Source organism: Homo sapiens, chromosome 3 (assembly GCF_000001405.40).
Source record: "Homo sapiens chromosome 3, GRCh38.p14 Primary Assembly".
Taxonomy (NCBI): Eukaryota; Metazoa; Chordata; class Mammalia; order Primates; family Hominidae; genus Homo; species Homo sapiens.
The window spans coordinates 138743348-138766430 of NC_000003.12; the positions used below are offsets into that span (position 1 = coordinate 138743348).

General features: G+C 39.7%; 1 protein-coding gene across 13 annotated transcripts in view; it reads right to left on the reverse strand.

Moving 5' to 3' along the window:
* Positions 1-23083, reverse strand: part of PIK3CB (phosphatidylinositol-4,5-bisphosphate 3-kinase catalytic subunit beta) — a 182231-nt gene that overhangs the window by 90650 nt on the left and 68498 nt on the right. For 12 of the 13 annotated variants that reach the window (NM_001437290.1, NM_001437286.1, NM_001437289.1 and 9 more), the window contains 2 exons: positions 15826-16012; positions 12407-12632 (listed from right to left, as the gene is read on the reverse strand). In NM_001437290.1, coding sequence (NP_001424219.1) covers positions 12407-12632; positions 15826-15996 — 397 coding nt within the window. In that variant the 5' untranslated portion in view covers positions 15997-16012. Of the gene's footprint in view, positions 1-12406; positions 12633-15825; positions 16013-17434; positions 17557-23083 lie in introns of all 13 variants that reach the window. The other variant, NM_001437293.1, reaches the window with a different exon arrangement.

Below are 23083 nucleotides of genomic sequence, written 5' to 3' on the forward strand. Positions count from 1 at the left end.
AAAAACAAACCAAAGAAAACCTAGTACACTTAAATTTTATAGACTGAATTTTCAGTTCATTGTGATTTTTAAATGGTTATCATATATTGTTTTAGTTAGTCAAAAATCCCATAAACATAAAATTGTTCTTTATTGTTTGGTTGATTCTCAAACAACATGGTGGATGGGGCACCAACCCCCTACAGAGGAGAAAATTCACATATAACATTCATTCATTCATTCATTCATTCACTGAGACAGAATCTTGCTCTGTTACCCAGGCTGGAGTGCAGTGGTGTGATCACGGCTCACTGTAGCCTTCATCTCCTGGGCTCAAGCGATCCTCCCACCTCAGCCTCCCAAGTAGCTGAAATTACAGTCACAAGCACATGCCACTATGTCTGGATAAATTTTTAGTAGACATGAGGTCTTGCTATATTGTCCAAGTTGTCTTGAACTCCTGGGCTCAAGCAATCCTCCCACCTCAGTCTGACAAAGTGCTGGGATTACAAGTGTGAGTCACCATGCCCGGCCTACATGTCCCTTTTGACTCCTGAACAACTTAACTACTAATAGCCTACTTATGACCAGAAGCCTTACCAACAACATAGTCAGTTAACACTTATTTTGTATGTTATACATGTTATATACTGTATTCCTAAAGTAAGCTAAAGAAAATGTTAATTATTCCAGCACTCTTCTGATTAGAAAAAAAGAAAATGTTATTAAATAAATCACAAAGAAGTGAAAATATATTTACTATTTATTAAGAGGAAGTGGATTGGTCGGGCGCAGTGGCTCACGCCTGTAATCCCAGCACTTTGGGAGGCTGAGGCGGGTGGATCACCTGAGGTCAGGAGTTCGAGACCAGCCTTACCAACATGGAGAAACCCCATCTCTACTAAAAATACAAAAAACATTAGCCAGGCGTGGTGGTGGGTGCCTGAAGTCCCAGCTACTCGGGAGGCTGAGGCAGGAGAATGGCGTGAACCCGGGAGGCGGAGCTGGCAGTCAGCCGAGATTGTGTCACTGCACTCCAGACTGGGTGACAGAGCGAGACTCCCCCAAAAAAAAAAAAAAAAAAAAAAAAAAAAAAGGAAGTGGATCACCATAAATGTCTTCATAACTCATCATCTTCACACTGAGTAGGCTGAGGAGGAGGGGGAGAGGTTAGTCTTGCTGTCTCAGGGGTGGCAGACACAGAAGAGTGAAGGAGGTACAAGGGGAGGCAGCAGACGCAGGCATACTGTATGTAACTTCACAGATATACATCATAATTTCTGACTTCTTTGCTTTTTCTTTTCTGTAAAAATGTTTATCTGTATAGTACCAATCCTACCACTGTTTGCTTTAGTTTCAGTGCTGGTATCATAGAAGGGGCCATATTATAAAAGAAGTAAAAAGCATTCTTGAATAATCAGAAGCCTTCTGTCAGACTGTTGCATGTGAATTTGTTTTCGGGCACTGTTTCTTCTACATCTTCTTCCTCATCATCTGGCACTGCTTCAGAAGCACTCATCTCCATGAAGTTGTTTTCTGTTAATTCCTCTCATGTGGTGTTTATTAGCTCTTGGATTTCTCCACGATCTGTATCTTGAAACCCTTCACCACCACTGCTGCCTTTTATGCCATACCACAATCTATTTCTTAATTTCCTTGATTGGTTCTGTTGTCAATCCTGTGAAGTCATGTACAATATCGGGACAGAGATTTCTCCAACAGGAATTTACTGTTTTGGGTTTGATAGCTTTCACAACTTTTTCTATATGAACGATGGCATCTTCAGTGGTGTAATACTCCCAGACTTTCATGATGTTCTATCCAGGTTCTCTTTCATAGAGTACCATGAGTAATGAGCCTTAAAGGTCCTTATGACCTCCTGATAGGCTAAATTAGAGATGTTGTGTTTGGGGGTAAGTAAATCACTTTGAGGCTTTCAGTGTTGAACTCAGGGGGTTCTGGGTGGCCACGGGCATCATCCAATATCAAAAGAACCTTAAAAGGCAGTCCCTAGGCTGGGCACAGTGGCTCACACCTATAATCCTCCTGTCATCCTAGCACTTTGGGAGGCCAAGGTGGGGGGATCACTTGAGGTCAGGAGTTCAAGACCAGCCTGGCCAACATGGGGAAACCCCATCTCTATTAAAAACACAAAAATTAGCCAGACATGGTGGTGTGTGCCTGTAATCTCAGCTACTTGGGGGGCTGAGGCAGGAGAATCGCTTGAACCCAGGAGGCGGAGGTTGCAGTAAGCCAAGATCGCACCCCTGCACTGCAGCCTGGGCGATGAAGTGAGACCCCATCTCAAAAAAAAAGGCAGCCCCTTACTGGCAAAGTAGTTCCTGACTTCAGAACAAAGCAGTGATGGAACCAATCCAGAAAAAGGGTTCTTATTGTCCAGGTCTTCTTGTTGTACAACCAAAAGACTGGCAGCTGGTGTTTCTTTTTCCCTTCGAGGCTTGGGGGTTAGCAGCTTTACAAATAAAGTGTATCACAAACTAGTCTGCATTTGCACAAAACAGTAGTTAGCCTTCCTGTCTTAAATCCTGGTGCTGACTTCTCTTCCTAATAAATGACCTTTGTGGCATTTTTTTTCTCCAGAATTGGGCACTTTGATCTGCATTAAAAACTTGTTCAGGGTCAGACAAGGCAGCTCACACCTATAATCCCAACATTTTGGGAGGCCGAGGTGGGAGGATTCCTTGAGGTCAGGGGTTCGAGACCAGCCTGGGCAACATAGTGAGACCTCATCTCTATAAAAAATTAAAAATTAGCTGGGCATGGTGGTGCATGCCTGTAGTCCCAGCTACTCAGGAGGCTGAGGTGGGAGGATCACTTGAGCCCAGGAGGGCAAGGATACAGCCTGGGCAACAGAGTGAGATCTTGTCTCAAAAACAAAACACTAAAAATCTGTTCAGGCAGGTATCTATTCTCCTCAGTGATTTTTCTTAATGGCATCTGGGAACTCATCTGCTATTTCTAGGTCAGGAAAAATAACTTCTCCTGTTACCTTGATTTTTTTTATGCCAAACCTTTCTAAAATTGTCAAATCGGCCGGGCACGGTGGCTCACGCCTGTAATCCCAGCACTTTGGGAGGCCGAGGAGGGCGGATCACGAGGTCAGGAGATTGAGACCATCCTGGCTAACATGGTGAAACCCCATCTCTACTAAAAATACAAAAAAATTAGCCAAGAGTGGTGGCGGGGACCTGTAGTCCCAGCTCCTCGGGAGGCTGAGGCAGGAGAATGGCATGAACCTGGGAGGTGGAGCTTGCAGTGAGCCGAGATCACGCCACTGCACTCCAGCCTGGGTGACAGAGTGAGACTCCGTCTCAAAAATAAATAAATTAATTAATTAAAAATAAAAATAAATAAAAATAAAATTGTCAAACCATCCTTTGCTAGCATTAAAATTCTCCTGTACTAGATCCTTCAGTTTCTTATTGCTTTGTCACATAACTTTGCCTTTTCTTGAATCAGATTAGAGTCTATTGGTATGCCTTTCTTATAGCAATCCTGCACCCACATACAAGCTGCATTTTTACTCTGAGATAAAAAGGTGATTCACAAAAAGTGCAAGGTTTAGCACCTGCTGACATAGCTGCGGCGACAGTTTCATGAATTTGTTTTTTCACAATGGTACTTATACTGGATTGATTTATCTCGAAATGGCAGGCAACCACAGCTGCAGACCTCCATCTACAGTACATATCAAGCTATTCAGCCTTTATATATATATATATATATATATATATATATATATATATATATATATATATATATATATGGCATTTGCAGGCACAATCACAGCACACTAGTACCTAGAACTCCTGGGCTTAAGCAATCCTCTTGCCTCAGCCTGTGCACCCAGCTGCATTCAACTTTTTTCTTATAATATCATGACTTTTCTCTGTTCTTAGAAGTACTTCCAGGATCACAAGTAGCATTTTGTATGGGTCCCACAGTGTTATTCAAGGTTTGCAGTATTCCAGTAAACACAATTTAAAAAATACATGAGAACTCGGAGAGATCCCTTTTTACTGCAATATGCAATTTACTAGACAGAGAAACTGCTCAAGTGGAGATGATTAGAGTCACATGGCATTTCTGAGCATATGCTCACAACACTTAACCTCACCACAATAGCAACAGGAGGTGGCTGCAAAATTATTACAGTAGTATAATACAGTTAATTTTATGCAGTTATGATTTAATACTGTATCTTTACATTTGTTTGCACTTCTTTCAACTGCAAATGGCACCATGTATGGTTGTCTAAATGTCTGTGTATGTAAGTTTTGAAATTTTAACTTTTTATAATAGATTTATGTGTATTTTATGGTAGTAAATGATACATACATATCATGCATTAATGACACTTAACTTTTTAATTTTTTCACTATTTCTAGGCTGTGATTCGTCTGCAAGTTTTTTCAAATTGTCACAAATCTCAAAAAAAGTTTCAATATACGTATTAAAAAATATCCACGTATAAGTGGCCCTGCACAGTTCAAACCTATTGCTGAAGGATGGGTTGTACTTAATTTTTAGTCACTTCTGCCATTAAGACAATTATATATGACAACTTTTTCAAAAACTTATGATTATTCCAGTAAATAATTTTAGAAATCTAAAAGAATGAATCAACATACATAAATGTTTATGTGTGCATTTATTTTTACCTATCAGGTTGGCACATATTTTAAAATTTGATAATACCCTGTGCTGGAAGGGGCAGAGAGAAAAAGGCATTCTAGTATAGTTTTGTTGAGAAACTACATTAATATGAACTTTTTGGAGGGCAATTTTGCAATATTTATTAGAAATCATACACACACACACACACACACACACACACACACACACACACATCCTTAGACCTCACAATTTTATCAATCGTAATCTCAACCTGAGAGATTCAGGACCAACGAAGAAAGCCAAGTATACTAACCCAACACCAATCACATAAGATGCCTTGCTTCTAATTAGCCCACCTCCAGCTCCCTGCTGCCAATAATTTCCCATCAGGCATCTCTGAAACCTTCCCTTTTTTTTCACTGTAAAGCTTTCCCACTCCCCTGCCTGCCTCTGAGTCTCTGCCAAGCTCAAGTTCTTTTACTATAGCAACCTCTGCATAAATAGTCTCTGTTCTCATCTGAGTGGTCTTTGTTTATTTCTACAAACCTATGGATATACTATCAATATATGAATATTTGCTGCAGTTTTGTGTATAATAATTAAAATGTAATCTAAAGGCCATCATTCAGGACTGGTTAAATAAAGATACATCCATGTATCATTATACAGTGGTGCAGGAGATAAAAATACAATCAATCTTTGTGTTTTTAAGGGCACCAGATATTTTTTAAAAGTAGGTAGAGAATGGGTCAGGTAAAATCCCTTTTCTGAAAATTCAAAAGGAAGAATACAGAATATGCATAAGTTTTTGTTTTGGATACTTGAGATGACTCTATTGCTAGTGGTATTTTGTAGTATTAGGGAGGAATGCACAGTGAGGAAAGTTACTTTTTATTCCATAAAATTAATCTATACTATACTATTTGAACATATGCATGTCAGTAAGGGTTGCATTGTCTTTTTACTTTTATGCACTGAAAACAATAGTTGTTATTTCAAAAATATATCCTAGAATCAATTTTGTGGTATTAAATATAGAAAAATAAAACACAGCAAAGGTATAACACAGCAAAGGTAAAATGATTTCCTGGATAGTTTTAGATCTGGAATAAAATACATTACTCTAAATTAGCTATGAATGGACTGTAATTTGGGTGGAATGGCTGAAGCATTTTAGTGCACTGTTAATATTCATTCTATTCACAGGCAATAGGTATTACAGGTGACGAAAGGGAAATAAGTACCCAATAATATATACATCTAACAAAAATCAAATGCTTTATTTCCCTTAATCTGCTACAAATCATGTTTAACCCACCTTCTAAATGTCTCTCAACTCTGTCCACTTCTCTCAATTCCTGTAAACATTAACCTAATCCTGGCCATCATCACCCTTCCTTTGGGTTACAACATTTTTTCACTAATTTCTCTATTCAAATTCTTAATCCCTCCAATCCACTCTTCATTCTACAACCTAAATAATCTTTCTAAAATGCAAATTTATCACGTTACTCCCCTACCTATATTTCTTCAATAGCTTCCCAAGTGTTCTTAGTAGTAAAGCTCTACTTTTTACATGGCCTGGATGGCACTGTATGCTCTGCAGATGGCTGCCTCTCTAGTCTTTCCTAGTTGTCCTATCTGTCCCCCTACACCACCCATAATCAATTTCTTTTCCTTGAATAGGCCATTCTTCACATGTGCCATTTCTTTTTGTTTTTTCCTTTCTCCACCTCTCTTTACCTGCCAAATTCCTAATCAGCATTGATGGCTCAGTGTAGGTATACATCTTCTAAGAGGTCATCCCTGATTCACCTAATTGATTTAAGGTGACTTTCCTTTTCAAAAGTTTTGTTTTTCATTAATTGGCAAATAATAATTGCATGTATTTTTGAGGTACAATGTGATAGAGTTTTTTTGTTTGTTTGAGACAGGGTCTCACTCTGTCGCCCAGGCTGGAGTGCAGTGGCATGATCACAGCTCACTGGAGCCTCAACCTCTGGGCTCAAGCCAAGTGATCCTCCCACCTCAGCCTCTCAAGTAGCTGGGACTACAGGCACACACCACCATGCCTGAGTAATTTTTTGTACTTTTTGTAGAGATGGGGTTTTGCTATGTTGCCCAGACTGGTCTCCAAATCCTGGGCTCAAGTGATCCACCCACCTTATCCTCCCAAAGTACTGGGATTATAGGAATAAGCCCCCAAGCTCGGCCAATGTGATGTTTTGACACATGTATACATTGTGGAATGATCAAATCTGGCTAATTAGCATATCTATCACCTCAAATATTTATTATTTCTTTGTGAAGAGAACATTTAAAAATTCTCTCATAAATATTTTGAAACATACAATACATTATTATTAACTATAGTCACGGTGCTATGCAATAGAATGGGGGTGGGGGTGGTTTTGGGATGAAACTGTTCCACCTCAGATCATCAGGCATTAGATTCTCGCTCATTAGGATCACACAACCTAGATCCCTCACATGTGCAGTTCACAATAGGATTCTTCGCATTCAAGCTCCTATGAGAATCTAATGCTACCACTGATCTGACAGGAGGCGAAGTTCAGGTGGTAATGCTCACCCAACCTGCTGCTCACCTCCTGCTGTGCGGCCTGGTTCCTAACCAGCAACAGGGAGCAGAGGAGAACCCCTGCAATGGAACACCAGAACTTATTCCTGCTAACTGAAACTTTGTACCCAGTGACCAATGTCTCCCCTTTCCCAGCCCAATACACCCCTTTCTATGCCCCCAACTGGCTCTGCTAACTACCATTCAACTGTTTACTTTGAGTTCAACTTTTTCAGATTCCACATTTAAGTGAGATCACACAGTATTTGAAGGTGACCCTTTCTGACATAGCATAGCAGTTAATACATTGCAATAAAACTGTGTTTACTGATCCTCACTTCCCACTGGATTGTGAGGTCTAAGCAGAGACCATATCACCCACGGTCACTGGTAAAATTTCAAGTATAAACACTCAATACTACTGAACTGCAATCACTAATGTTTTGGTAATGTTTTTCAATATATTATGAATAAGGGACCCTGTTCATGTAACTGTTAGAATCACATAAAAAAATACAGCTTTCATTTATTCCAGACACACTGAATCCCAATCTCTGAGCATATTCATTTTAAGAAACTGATACAATCTAAATTTGGGAACCACCATAAAGATCTCTTAAATACAGAAATTTTAGGCCGGGCGCAGTAGCTCACGCCTGTAATCCTAGCACTTTGGGAGGCCGAGGCGGGCGGATCACGAGGTCAGGAGATTGAGACCATCCTGGCTAACACAGTGAAACCCCATCTCTACTAGAAATATAAAAAATTAGCCAGGCATGGTGGCAGGTGCCTGTAGTCCCAGCTACTCGGGAGGCTGAGGCAGGAGAATGGCGTGAACCCAGGAGGTGAAGCTTGCAGTGAGCCGAGATGGCGCCACTGCACTCCAGCCTGGGCGATAGAGCGAGACTCCATCTCAAAAAAAAAAAAGAAATTTTATCAAAAATAACGAACACTTTAAGCTAAGTAATTTAATTTTAAACCTAGTTAATACCCTACATACCTTCTTCTAAGAGAATCTAACAGCAAAGCTTAAATTTTCCTTAAGGCTACTGTAAAATTTATAGTCAAATATAATTTTTATATTTAAAAAGTACTGAGTGAACAATTTATTCATACTAAAGAGGGTGTTAAAATCCTACAGACTAGGTCGGACATGGTGGCTCACACCTGTAATCCCAGCACTTTGGAAGGCTTAAGGTAGGCAGATCGCTTGAGGTCAGGAGTTCGAGACCAGCCTAGCCAATGTGGCAAAACCCCATCTCTACAAAAAATATAAAAATTAGCTGGGTGTAGTCATGCAATCCTGTAATCCCAGCTACTTAGGAGGCTCAGGCATGAGAATCACTTGAACCCAGGAGGCAGAGGTTGCAGTGAGCCAAGATCACGCCACTGCACTCCAGCCTGGGCAACAAAGTGAGACTCTGTATATAAAAAAAAAAAAAAAAAAAAATCCTACAGACTAGCTATTTCCCTCACTTAAGGTATACCACAGGTTTAGATAGGTCAGGAGAAATAAGGGAGTTTACAAATATGTTTTTCAGAATGCTAACAAAATCCTCTGATTACGATTCTTTTACTGAGTGTTTGGAGAAATTAATATGGGGTGGCATACACCTTACTACAGAGAACAAACAGAACTCAAACAACAGCTCTGTAAATAATTATTTGGAATAAACACAGAAAAAAAAAAGATTAGCCACATCATCTTTCAGGAAAAGGTATTTTTAGCCTAGTCAGGGCAATTACGTCTCTAAAGGTTCTATTGTTTTCTTTGGAGAGAGGAGGTGGCAACCTTGTTCCTAAAGTTAAACTGAAATAATTGTATATTTTTTCCCAGGAGGCATGGCCTCATCAAGCCATGGTCATCACAGACAAATCAGCAACTGCAAAAATTGACTTGACTTCTCAAGTATTAAAAGTGAAAATTCATTCTTAAATACACAACTTACTCAATTTCTTAAATAAATGTTAACATTTAAATTTGTGTATATAATCAAAATGCCAAAGAATACAAAAATTAGGTGGGCGTGGTGGTGCATGCCTGTAGTCCCAGCTACTTGGGAAGCCAAGGTGGGAGAATTGCTTGAACCTGGGAGGCGGAGGTTGCAGTGAGCCAAAAAGGCGCCACTATGCTCCAGAGTGGGTGATAGAGTGAGACCTCGTCTCAACAGAAAAAAAAAAAGAAAAAATTAAATTCATTAGTCTAATATAGATTATACCCCTATGCTATGGTAGGATAAAAGGTAAGGTTGCCAGGTTAAAAAAAAACAGTATGCGCAATTCAATGTGAATTTTAGATAAACAATGAATATGTTTTTAGCATAAGCACAGCATATGTAATATTTCAATCTTCAATATTTTTATTTGCCACATTTGGCAGGCATAGGAAGAGGTAATGGTGGCCAATGAATCCATGTTTTGGTAAATGTTGGGAAGGAGGTAAATTTCAGAGAGATACCAATGCCTTGAAGAAACTTGGCCCACATCCTGGGTAACACAGTAAGATTCCATCTCTACAAAAAAAAAGAAAAAATTAGCCAGACTTGGTGGCTTGCACTCAGCTACTCAGGAAGCTGAGGTGGGAGGATCACTTGACCCTGGGAGGCTGAGGCTGCAGTGACTGGTGGTTGCACCACTGCATTCCAGCCTGGGTACAGGGCAAGACCCTGTCTCAATTTAAAAATAAAAACAAAAACAGCTGGGCGCAGTGGTTCACACCTGTAATCCCAGCACTTTGGGAGGCCGAGGCAGGCGGATCATCTGAGGTCAGGAGTTTGAGACCAGCCTGTCCAACATGGTGAAACCCTGTCTCTAATAAAAATACAAAAACTAGCTGGGCATGGTGGCAGGTGCCTGTAATCCCAGCTACTCAGAAGGCTGAGGCAGGAGAATCTCTTGAACCTGGGAGGCAGAGGTTGCAGTGAGTCAAGATTGCACCACTGCACTCCAGTCTGGGCAACAGAGTGAGACTCTGTATCAAATAAATAAATACAAATAAAAATAAAAAGGCCAGCACAATGGCTCACACCTATAATCCTAGCACTTTGGGAGGCAAAGGCAGGTGGATCACTTGAGCTTAGGAGTTTGATACCAGCCTGGGCAACATGCTAAAATCTACATGGGCATGGTGGCATATGCCTGTGGTCTCAACTACTCGGGAGGCTGAGGTAGGAGGATCACTTAAGCCTGGGAGGTTGAGGCTGCAGTGAGCTGAGATCGCACCACTGCACTCCAGCCTAGGTGACAGAAAGAGACCCTATTTAAAAAAGAAAAAAAAATCAAAAAGAACATGGCCTACTCTGTGGTACTTTTTGGATTAACAAATATTTTAGCTTCCCTAAAAATCAATGTGGTTCTGGTTTGCTTTCTTACATTAGCATGAGAATACAGAAAAGCTAAGTATTTTAATCCACAGAAACAAAAACAAATAAAAGCCTTGAAATACATATAATTTATTCAAAAGAAATATATCAAAATATTGTCGGTCAATATACTTGTCCTGGATGATAAGACTATAAGTGATTTTTTTTCTTTCTTTCTCCTCTTCCATATATTCTTCAACTTTTTATGGGCATGAGAACAAAGGGAAAACCTTTTATAATGGACAAAAATTTAAATTCTATAAAAATATTTGGGCCAGGTGCTGTGGCTCTGAAGGCTGAGGCAGGCAGACAGCTCGAGTCCAGGAGTTTGAGACCAGCCTGGGCAACACCCTGTCTCTACTATAATAAAAATACAAAAATTAGCCAGGCATGGTGGCTTGCATCTGTATGTAGTCCCAGCTACTTAGGACGCTGAGGTGGGAGGATCGCTTGCGACTGAGGGTCGAGTCAAGGCTGAAGTGAGCCATGATCGTACCACTGCACTCTAGCCTGGGCAACAGGGCGAGACCTTGTCACCAAAAAAACAAAAACAGAAACAAAAAACAAACAAAACAAAACACACCTTTGTAGCTCTAGAAAATAGAAAGGCATGCTTTCTAATAATGCTTTCTAATTATATGTCACTAATATATAAGAAAAAATTTTGTATGATACATAACTATAAACTTGTTAACTGGGAAAAATTTATTGCCAAAAATAAACTAGCCACCCTCTGAAGTAATCAAATATTTTTAAATATCAGAGTATCCCTTAGTAAACTAACAAGGTTCTATGCACTCAGAGGGAGTAGTCCCACAGTATAATCATTAGCTAGCCTGAATTATTATAGGGTTAAGATCAAAGAATAGTATTTTAAAGGGGATGGTACTATATTATCCTATAACAGTGAATCTGATCAATACAGGTACCCAATCTAGATACATAAATCTCCAGTGGATTTTCTGGTTTTGTATTTAAACTATAAAGTCCCCTCCTCAGTAACCTTTTGTAGTTCCTAATTCAAGTCAGTACCCTCTCTAAAGCAAGATATTGATAAAACATTAGCCCCTGAGACTCCTAATGTTATATAGCAAGAGAGACTCCTCCATGTTCTTGATTGTGTTACTCACAATTTTCCATGGAATAAATTTGCAAGGAATAATGTGGACATGATATTTCCTGACTCTCTACCAAAATAACTTCTACTTAAAGATAATTTCAGTTAAGAAGTAAAATTTGTCAATAATTTATTTATGGAAACATCAAACAGCTTAAAGTCTTGGTTGGCATAGAGAGTTGTGTATAAAATATGTTCATTCTATAGGAGCAGTTCATAAGAAACTAAGGATAATGTCTCCTTTAGTCAAGGACTTCTCAAACAATCTGAGGTAAAGCAACAACTTTTTTCTTTCCAATCCATCAAAGATCAATATTTTTGTAAAATAAAAATAAATCAGCCATGCACAGTGGCTCATACCTGTAATCCCAGCACTTTGGGGGGCCAAGGTAGGAGGATCACTTGAGCCCAGGAGTTTGAGACCAGCCTGGACAACACAGTGAGACCCTGTCTCTATTTTTAAAAATTAAATAAATAATAAATCATTAGACAACAAAAACATATACTAAACATAAGCCCTTGGATGCTATGGCAATATCATATTGCTAAAGGGGTTTCTAAACATTTATTCTCAATTTCTATACTTACCTTATCTCAAACTGGCAACAATTTACAGATCAGCAGTGGTCCATGGACCACACTTTGAAAAGCAATGTCTTAAATATACTTACTATATGTTTATATAAATAGATATATTAAGAATTTGTACTTTTTTTTTATTTTTTAATTTACCTTTTCCTATAAGGACTCCAATTTTTGAGTCTAATTTTTCCCCTGGGTCACAACTTCTTGTCACTAATTTGAGAACTGGAAGAAAAGGTCTGACATCACAGAGTCTTCGTGTTTCATCTTCAAGCTCCTCATATACAGCAGTCTGATTCACACATGCAAACATATAGGAGTCAATATCCATAAGGAGGTTGAACATTGGGTAATTGTGAACTTGCTTCCATAACATCTATGAGAAAAAATAAGACATTTTCTGGAATGGAAACACTTGCTCAAGTGTACAAAGATATAAGGATGCTCACTGCAGCACTGTTTGTAAAAATAAAAAACTATGAACAAATCAAATGTTTAGCAATAAAAGATTGGTTAAATGAATTATAGAATATTACAGAATGGTGAAAATAATAGAAATATATTCAGAAAAATAGAAAAAAATATAAATTCATTCTGAAATGGAAAACCATACAAAATATTCAAGTTTTCTTACAACAGCAAATTATAGGAGAGTATATATGGTATTATCCCATGTTTGTAGGGTAATATAATGGCATAGTGCACAAAAAATGCATTATAAATGAAATTACTAAAAGCAAATTATCTATGACAAGTAAGACTCAATGAAAACTTTCATATTTCACTTTCCTGTAAGCAGAAACTACTGATCAGGAGTAATCAAAAAAAAATTTTAATTTAAAGTATGTATCACCACCTCCATACAATATTTAAATTATTTTTGTCCTGCACTCTTTTCTTTTATCAGGGGTATCCTTACTAACACTGTCCTGTCAGAATGATCATAATCAATCTCTCAACATCTCTTTCCATGTCTCCTGGATGAGATAATATAAAAGAAGTTCACCACACAAAAACAAAAAGGGATTGCATATTTTGTTAACAGCCAGTACAAAAGCTAAGAGCTGAAAATAACAGACCTGAGTTAAAAATTGTGGCCAATCCTCAGCTCAGATTCAGTTACATAAAACATACAGGAGAAAGTACAAGCAACAACAATAATAATAATGATAGGTAAACTTTTCATTCTAAAGGCTCAAAATAGTAACATTAAGAAAAAAAGGTAAACTGAACTTCACCAAAACTTAAAACTTCTGTACAGCAAAAGACATTATCAAGAGAATGAAAAGGCAACCAACAAAATGGGAGGTAATATTTGCAAATCATATATATCTGACAAGATATTAATATCCAGAATATATAAAGAACTCCTACAACTCAATAACAGAAAACAAAGTTTAAAAATCAGTACAGGTCTAGAAAAGATAATTCTCCAAAAAACATACAAATGACCAACAAGCACATAAAAAGATGCTCAACATCATTAGTCATGAGGGAAATGCACATAAAAACCACAATGAGGCTGGGTGCAGTGGCTCACACCTGTAATCCCAGCACTTTGGGAGGCCATGGTGGGCAGATCATGAGGTCAAGAAATCAAGACCATCCTGGCCAACATGGTGAAATCCCATCTCTACTAAAAATACAAAAATTAGCTGGGCATGGTGGTGTGCACCTATAGTCCCAGCTACTCAGGATGCTGAAGCAGGAGAATCACTTGAACCCAGGAGGCGGAGGTTGCAGTAAGCCAAGGTCATGACACTGCCCTCCAGTCTGGCGACAGAGCGAGACTCCGTCTCAAAAAAACAAAACAAAAAACAAAAAAAAACCCACAATGAGATACCACTTCACATCCATTAGGATGGATACTATTAAACACACACACACACACACACACACACACACACACACACACACAGAAAATATGGCAAACAAGATCGTATCTCTTAGACAAACAAAAAAAGGAAAGAAATAATGTAAGAAAAGAGGAAGGAAGAAAGGAAGGAAGAAGGGAGGGAGGGAGAGAGGGGAGGGGAAGGGAGGAGAGGGAGAGGAAGGAGGGGAGGTAGGAAAAGAGGGAGGGAGGGAGGAAGAGAGGGAGGGAGGAAGAGAGGGAGGGAGGAAGAGAGGGAGGGAGGGAGCGAGGAGAAAATAGCATGTGTTGGCCAGTATGTAGACAAACTGGAACCCTTGTACACTGCTGGTCCCAACATTATATGGTGCAGCCACTGTGGAAAACAGTGTGGCAGTTCCTCAAAAGTTAAAACATGGAATTACCACTGTGAACCAACAATCACACTTCTAGGTATATACCCAAAAGAACTGAAAGCAGGAATTCAAACAGACATTTATACACCAATGCTCAGAGTAGCATAATATTCACAATAGCCAAAAGCTGGAAGCAACCCAAATGTTCATCAACAGATAAATATACAAAATGTGGCATATACATACAATGGAATATTATTCAGCCATAAAAGGGAATGAAACTAGGATATATGCTACAACATGGATGAACTTTAAAAACACTATGCTATGCAAGCCAACTACAAAAGGATAGCTATTTATTGTATGTTTCCACTTATATAAAGTACCAAGAATAGGCAAACTGGTAGAGATGGAAAACAGAATAGAAATAAAAAGGAATTGAGGGAAAGGGGCAGTTATGGGTATGAAGTTTCTGTTTGGGATGATGGTTAAGTGCTGGAAATGGATACTGGTGATGGTTGCACAGCACTGTGAATGCACACCTAAAAATGTCTAAATAGTAAATTCCAGGTTATGTATATTTCACAATTAAAAAGAGATAAATGGTTAATCTAATGTGAAGTATAGCCATAGGAATCCATACTTGTCACTGGTGACTATAAAAATAGGTGCACCATGCATGAGCGTATGAGATGCTTAAGTCAATTCTGTATTTTCTTTTTACTTTAAGGATCATGCCATTTTAGAATTCCAGTTTCTCTAATGAAGAAGCTTGGAAAGGAGTTAAGAGGCTTGTCCAAAGCCAAGAGTTTTCAGAGGTATATCATAAATATGTTTTCTTAAAAATACCGTAACTCCTGATATTCACATTGGGTTCAGCTTTTTGAAAAACATTAGAAAGAAAGTTTAGAAAAACAAGTTCATGTATATGCTGGTTTTTACAAATCAACGGTGCTCATCAATTTACTTTAAAAACTAATGCAACAGAAAAGGCAAGCCTGCTGAGGGAAAAATATCTGGTGAACAGCAGAAAAGTCTTTCTTCCCCCAAGAGTCAAGGAAAGGGGGAAGAGAAGAAAAAGGAGAGAAGAGAAAATGAACCAAAAATCACATTTTTAAAAGTGTGACAAGCTCAAAGACAGTAATTTCAAAGACGAACTCAAAAGAAAATCTTCTTGACAGTTTTAATAACCCAAACAAACATTTCAAACTAGCTAACATAAACTAATTTTTCTTAATTACCATCACTTCATTACTATCATTATCACATATAATTTACATTAACATTTTCTATTATAGAATGATATTTCCCCCAAGTGACACAGTATGCTAAACACATAGAAATTATACCTATTAACATACCTGCTTAATATAAGAAATGGTAGCTTCCCGAGGTACCTCCAACTGGATATAAATCCCAGTGGGCAAAAGGAAATCCACAGGTATGGAGCCATCAGATGCTATCTGTGAATCCACCGCCCAGATGTCAAGGATGTCTGCCATAGCAGGAGGCATTATGAAACTGAAGCACATTCATAACCACGGGGCCCTAGAAATCAGTAATTAAAACATAGCAAAACAACCATCAGCCAAATTTTATACCAAGATATGATAAAGACCACTAATCTACAATTAGTCCTTAGATTTCAATATAGCCAATAATGTAACAGGAGGCCAATTAAATAATGTGATATTTTAAAAACCAAGAGTAAGTCAGCAGAAATAAATTATTTAAATACACTTTTATCACTTCACAAATTATATATATGTACATTATCCAATCCATACCACCAACTAAAGGAAAAAAATTATTCTTATATACATATAAATAAAAATATATACACATACATATGTACACACACACACACCACATTGATTCAAATTCAACATAGATATTTGACATCTGAATAAACTGCATGCTTAAGGATTACAGGGTCCTAAGAAATTTAGTTAACCAGCACTTGACAGGTGATTTTTCTCCAAACTTTATTTAGAAAATATTAGCTTCTTAGGCTGAGTTTTTCTCTGCAAATTCCAATGAAAATGACAATCAAGAGGGCCCTCTCTCAACAAGAACAATTTGCAATCAAGAGGGCCCTTTCTCTACAAGGACAATTTTTTTTTTTTTTGAGATGGAGTCTCTCTCTGTTGCCTAGGCTGGAATGCAGTAGTGACATCTCAGCTCACTGCAAGCTCCGCCTCCCAGTTTTACGCCATTCTCCTGCCTCAGCCTCCCGAGTAGCTGAGACTACAGGCGCCTGCCACCATGCCTGGCTAAATTTTTTGTATTTTTAGTAGAGACGGGGTTTCAACCGTGTTAGCCAGGATGGTCTCGATCTCCTGACCTCGTGATCCGCCCGCCTTGGCCTCCCAAAGTGCTGGGATTACAGGCGTGACCCACCGTGCCCAGCCAACAAGGACAATTTTCTATCAACCTCACGGCCCATCCCCTAAGCATTAAAAACACCAAATCGCTCAATACAGATGGCAAGGCCCCTTGTGCTATTTCTCTGGCCTATTTTTCTTGCTCTCCCATCACTCTACAGCCCGAGACTGGTATCACAGTGCCTTCTGCCTTCCTGCTGCTAGACCTATGTTCACATGAGGAATAAACTCCTCATATCAAAACAAACGCACTATCCCAACAAATGCACCCTTTAATAGTGCCATTTAAGTCTTACCTATTCCTTAAGGGCTTCCTTCAAGAAGATACAACAATAATAATTGGAAGAACATGAGCGCTAAAGTTAAATGAACCAAGGTTCATTTAACAATTATGCCATTAATGAAAGTGTCATATCAAAAGAGACAGGAGGCCGGGCACAGTGGCCCATGCCTGTAATACCATTACTTGGGGAGGCTTAGATGGGTGGATTGCTTGAGTCCAGGAGTTTGAGACCAGCCTGGGCAACAAACAAGACCCTGTCTCTACAAAACATACAAAAAATTGGCCAGGCGTAGTGGTGCATACCTGTAGTCCCAGCTACTTGGGAGACTGAGGCATGAGGATTGCTTGAGTCCAAGAATCTAAGGCTGCATTGAGCTAAAATAGTACCACTGCACTCCAGCCTGGACAACAAAGTGAGACCCTGTCTTAAAAAAATAAAAATTAAAAAACAATTTTTAGAACTTCTTTTGCTAATAAATGGAAAAAGAATAATAAATTAGAAAATCACAATTCTGCAAGTGCTAATGAACTAACAGATCTAGGCAATGATCATTAATAGATGCTAAAGACATAAATAATAATAAGGTGAAAGGAGAAGAAACTTTACAATCGTCCGTGTCTGTCTTGTTGACACTACAGGAATCCCCTGATCTTAGCATTACTAAAAGTGGGACTATCAGACATTATGTGTCTCCTCATGAAATGCAATAGTCAGTACTTACCATTCACACAAAACAAAACTGAACTTGAATCTAATCAAGGCTTTAGATCTGATCTATGTGCTAGTTTACAGGAAACAGAGAAAAAAGTTAAATACTTCAAGGAAGCAATCAGCCAAGTAGAGAATGTGGCATCTTCAATAAAACAAATTATATGGTTTCTCCAGCTAATCAATATCAAGAAGAGGAGGAAGAAGATGGTGGAAGGACTGTTAAAGAATTTAAAAAACACTTAGGAGACACAGCCAAATCCAATGTTAGCTGGAACAAATCAACTATAAAAAACTATCTTAGCCAGGCACTGTGGCCCATGCCTGTAATCTCAGCACTTTGGGAGGCCAAGGCAGGTGGATCACAAGGTCAGGAGTTCGAGGCCAGCCTGGCCAATATGGTGAAACCCCATGTCTACTAAAAATACAAAAATTAGCCAGGCATGGTGGCGGGTGCCTGTAATCCCAGCTACTCAGAAGGCTGAGGCACGAGAATTGCTTGAACCTGGGAGGCAGAGGTTGCAGTGAGCCTAGACAGCACCATTGCACTCCAGCCTGGGCAACACAGCGAGACTTCGTCTCAAAAAAATAAAAATACAAAAATTAGTCGGGGGTGGTGGCGTGTGTCTGTAGTCCCAGCTACTCGGGAGGCTGAGGCAGAAGAATCACTTGAACCAGGAAGGTGGAGGTTGCAGTTAGCTGAGATCACGCCACTGCACTCCAGCCTGGGCAACAGAGTGGGACTCTGTCTCAAAAAAAAAAAACCAACTATCTTTGGGCCAGGCACGGTGGCTTATGCCTGTAATCCCAGTACTTTGGGAGGCCGAGGTGGGTGGATCACCTGAGGTCAGGAGTTTGAGACAAGCCTGACTGACATGGCGAAACCCTGTCTCTACTAAAAATACAAAAAAATTAGCCAGGCATGGTGGTTCAAGCCTGTAATCCCAGCTACTCAGGAGGCTGAGGCAGGAGAATCGCCTGAACCCAAGAGGTGGAGGTTGCAGTGAGCAGAGATTGTGCCATTGCACTCCAGCCTGGGCAACAAAAGCAAAAATCCATCTCAAAAAAAACAAAAAACAAACAAACAAAACCTATCTTTGAAATAATCTGGGAAATTTAAATATGGATTCATTATAAGCTCCTTGAGGAGATATAATGTCTAGTGGTCTTACTTTTAGCCATGCTAAGATTGATCACAGAATTCAGGTATTGTCAACATGCTTTTTAAAGTACTGTTTCTCACCACAGTATATGGAAAGGTCTCTATACTCAGGAACTCTTAACCAATAAACTTCCATAAACACGAACAAAACTACACAGTCACTACACATGTTATTAAGGCACTAGTCCTAAAATTAAGCAAATCACTTCAGAGCAGCCTTTGAAGATCTGGTGTAGGAGCTTCTCAATCTTGCAAGTAATAAGCATTCAATAAGTATTTGCTGAATGAAAACATGCTGTATTAACTTATAAAGACCATACTTTGCAGGGCCAGGTAGGGTGGCTCAGCCTATAATCTCAGCACTTTGGGAAGCCGAAGCAAGTGGAGTGCTTGAGCCCAGGAGTTTGAGACCAGCCTGGGCAACATGGTGAAACCTTGTCTCTACTAAAAATACAAAAAAATTAGCCAGGCATGGCGGCAGGCACCTGTAATCCCAGCTACCAGGGAGGCTGAGTCAGGAGAATTGCTTGACCCCAGAGGGTGGAGGTTGCAGTGGGCCAAGATTACACCACTGCACTCCAGCCTGGGCAACAGAGTGAGAGTCTGCCTCAAAAAAAACAAAACAACAATAAAAAAATATATATATATACTTTGCTTATATTCAAATACCACCATGCAAAGACAGAGGTGGAAGCCAGCTACTGAACAAGTAACTCAAGTACTATGTCTAACCAAGAGCTGCCAACAAAAGCTGGAGGAAAAATGAAAGTTAGTATGTATGTATGTATGTATGTATGTATTTGTTTAGAGATGGAGTCTCATTCTGTCACCCAGGCTGGAGTGTAGTGGCATGATCTCAGCTCACTGCAACTTCTGCCTCCCAGGTTCAAGCAATTCTCCTGCTTCAGCCTCCTGAGTAGCTGGGATTACAGGCACACACCATCATGCCCGGCTAATTTTTGTATTTTTAGTAGAGATGGGGTTTCACCATGTTGGTCAGGCTAGTCTCAAACTCCTGACCTCATGATCCACCCGCCTCGGCCTCCCAAAGTGCTGGGATTACAGGCATGAGCCACCGTGCCCGGCCCAGAAGTTAGCATTTAAAATTGAGGTGGGTTTATGAAACATCAGCCCTCTGTCACAGAATTAGAAACATAATAAACCTGTACACGTCCCTAGTTTCTTCAACACAGATTTTTGTCAAGAATCTCAGAACTGAAACCAAATCACCCAATTAATACAATACTAATAAAAGAGCATGAAACTAGAAAAATAAAACTCTGGGATCTCACCCTTACCAGACAGCTGGAAATGGTAAGGCATCTGAGACATAATGCCCAGAGCAGCAATCTTTTCAAAGAGACTGACTGCATCTCACCAGCACTCCCATCCTATAGCATCAACTGCCAAGATATAAAATTCTAAATTTCTAAGCCATTAGAGAAAATGCATTAAGGTAGATACAAAAATTTCTTGATGAAGGCCAGGCGCGCTGGCTCATGCCTGCAATCCCAGCACTTTGGGAGGCCAAGGCGGGCAGATCATGGGGTCAGAAGTTCAAGACCAGCCTGACCAACATGGTGAAAACCCGTCTCTGTTAAAAATGCAAACATTAGCTGGGCATGGAGGCACGCCCCTGTAATCCCAGCTACTTGGGAGGCTGGGGCAGGAGAATCGCTTGAACTCGGGAGGCGGAGGTTGCAGTGAGCCGAGATCGCACCACTGCACTCCAGCCTGGGCGACAGGGCAAGACTCCATCTCCAAAAAAAAAAAAAAAAAATTCTTGATGAAATGATTATATCTAAAATGAATTACAAGGCTAAGAGTGGTGGCTCATGTCTATAATCCCAGCACTTTGGGAGGCCAAGGCAGGAGGACTGCTTGAGCCCAGGAGCCCAAGACCAGCCTGGGCTACATAGTGAGACCTCATCTATCAAGAAAAAAAAAAAAAATTAGCCAAGAGTTGTGGCATGCACCTGTGGTCCTAGCTACTAGGGAGGCTAAGGCAGGAGGATCACTTGAGCCCAGGAGGCTGAGGCTGCAGTGTGCTGTTAATTGCACCACTGCTCTCCAGCCTGGGCAAGAGTGAGACTATGTCTCAAAAAGTAAAATAAAAAATAAAATGAATTATGAGACAGGGCATGGCAGCTCACACCTATAATCCTAGCACTTTGGGAGGCCAAGGTGGAAGAACTACTTGAGGTCAGGAGTTCGAGACCAGCACAGGCAACAAAGCAAGACTAATTTAAAAATTGAATTATGAGAATGAATTCATGATTGGGCCCCTACTTTCCTTCCTCTCTAAATGTGTCATTCAACACACAGGATCCTTAGTCCAGTCATGCTGAATCACAGGTACTTGCCAGCATATCTCACATTCTCTCCTGCCTCCTACTTTAAACAGATTATTCCCTCTTCCTAAGATGTCTTCAGCTCCATATTGCCTGACCAAATTTTATTATTCTAGATTCCTGGAAACCTTCCCTGATACTCCTCGGTGTGTCTCAAGCACCCAGGACATACCTGTGACAACACTGGAGCACACTGTATTAAAGCTCACTGTGTACTCATCTCTCCCTAGTCTCATATTATTTCTAGCTCTTTAGCTCCTGGCACATATTAGCCTCTCAATAAATAATCACTTATGGTTAAATGAAGAAATGAGTAACAAATCCCACAGAATTTGTAAGAAGGAGGCCGGGCACAGTGGCTCCCGCCTATAATCCCACTAGCACTTTGGGAGGTGAATCACTTGAGGTCAGGAGTTCGAGACCAGCCTGGCCAACATGGCGAAACCCTGTCTCTACTAAAAATACAAAAATTAGCTGGGCGTGATGGCTGCCTGTAATCCCAGCTACTCAGGAGCCTGAGGCAGGAGAATTGCTTGAAACTGAGAGACGGAAGTTGCAGTAAGCCAAGATGATGCCACTGCACTCCGGCCTGGATGACAGAGCAAGACTCCATTTCCAAAAAAAAAGAATCTGCTAGTAGGACAATTATATTGGATATTAAAAATTTGATTTAAATCATGCTTGACAGGAAAACTTGAACCTTGCAATCTTCAATATAGTCTTTCAGCACTTACTCTAAGAAATATCACAAACAGCCTCCGCAAGTGATACCTTTATATGAAATCAAAATATTTTACCAATACATAGATAAAATGCCATATATATCTACATATCCTACAACTCTTTAAATTAAGAAAACTAGCCAGGTATAGTGGCTCATGCCTATAATCCCAGCACTTTGGGAGGCTGAGGTGGGGGGATCACTTGAGCACATGAGTTCAAGACCATCCTGGACAACATGGCAAAACCCCCTCTCTTCAAAAAAAAAAAAAAAAAATTAGCTGTGCATGGGACTACATGGCACACACCTGTAGTCCCATCTACCTGGAAGGCTAAGATGGGAGAATCACCTGAGCCCAGGAGGTTGAGGCTGCTATGAGCTGTGATCATGCCACTGCACTCCAGCCTGGGCAACAGAGTGAGACGGAAGGAAGAGTGAGACGAAGTGGGGCGAAAGAAAAAAAGTTGAAATTACTTAACTCAGACATTCAAGTCTATTTGCATGTGGTTTTACAAAATCTCAACCTACATTTCAGGTAGCCCATGTATCTTTCCTTAAAAGAATAAAGTAAAAAATATTAACAAACATATAAAATTCTTTTGCATAGATCAGGCTTTGCCTAATGCTGCCATGTCTCAAATACATAAACTCCTGTCATGTGAAGAAGAGCATAAAATGGATCTCACCTATAACTTAAAGATGGCACCCTCACTGTGTTGCAATCCCAGTAATGTTATAGGTGTTTCTGAAAATGATGTATTTTTTTAACTAATGTTTGACTATAAAACTGCTATTTTCAGGATAAGGCATCCTCTCCTAAATTTAAATAGGCTGAAGAACTCCCTTGATGTCAAAGGGATAACCATTATTTATTTCTCAAGCTCCAACAGACTGAAAATTGTTTCTAGTATAAAGAAAATAAAAAACTCATTTCAGAATAATTCACTAAGTTTTTATGTTTTATGTACTTTTCTATATCTGTGCTATATTTCACATTTTAAATGTCTTA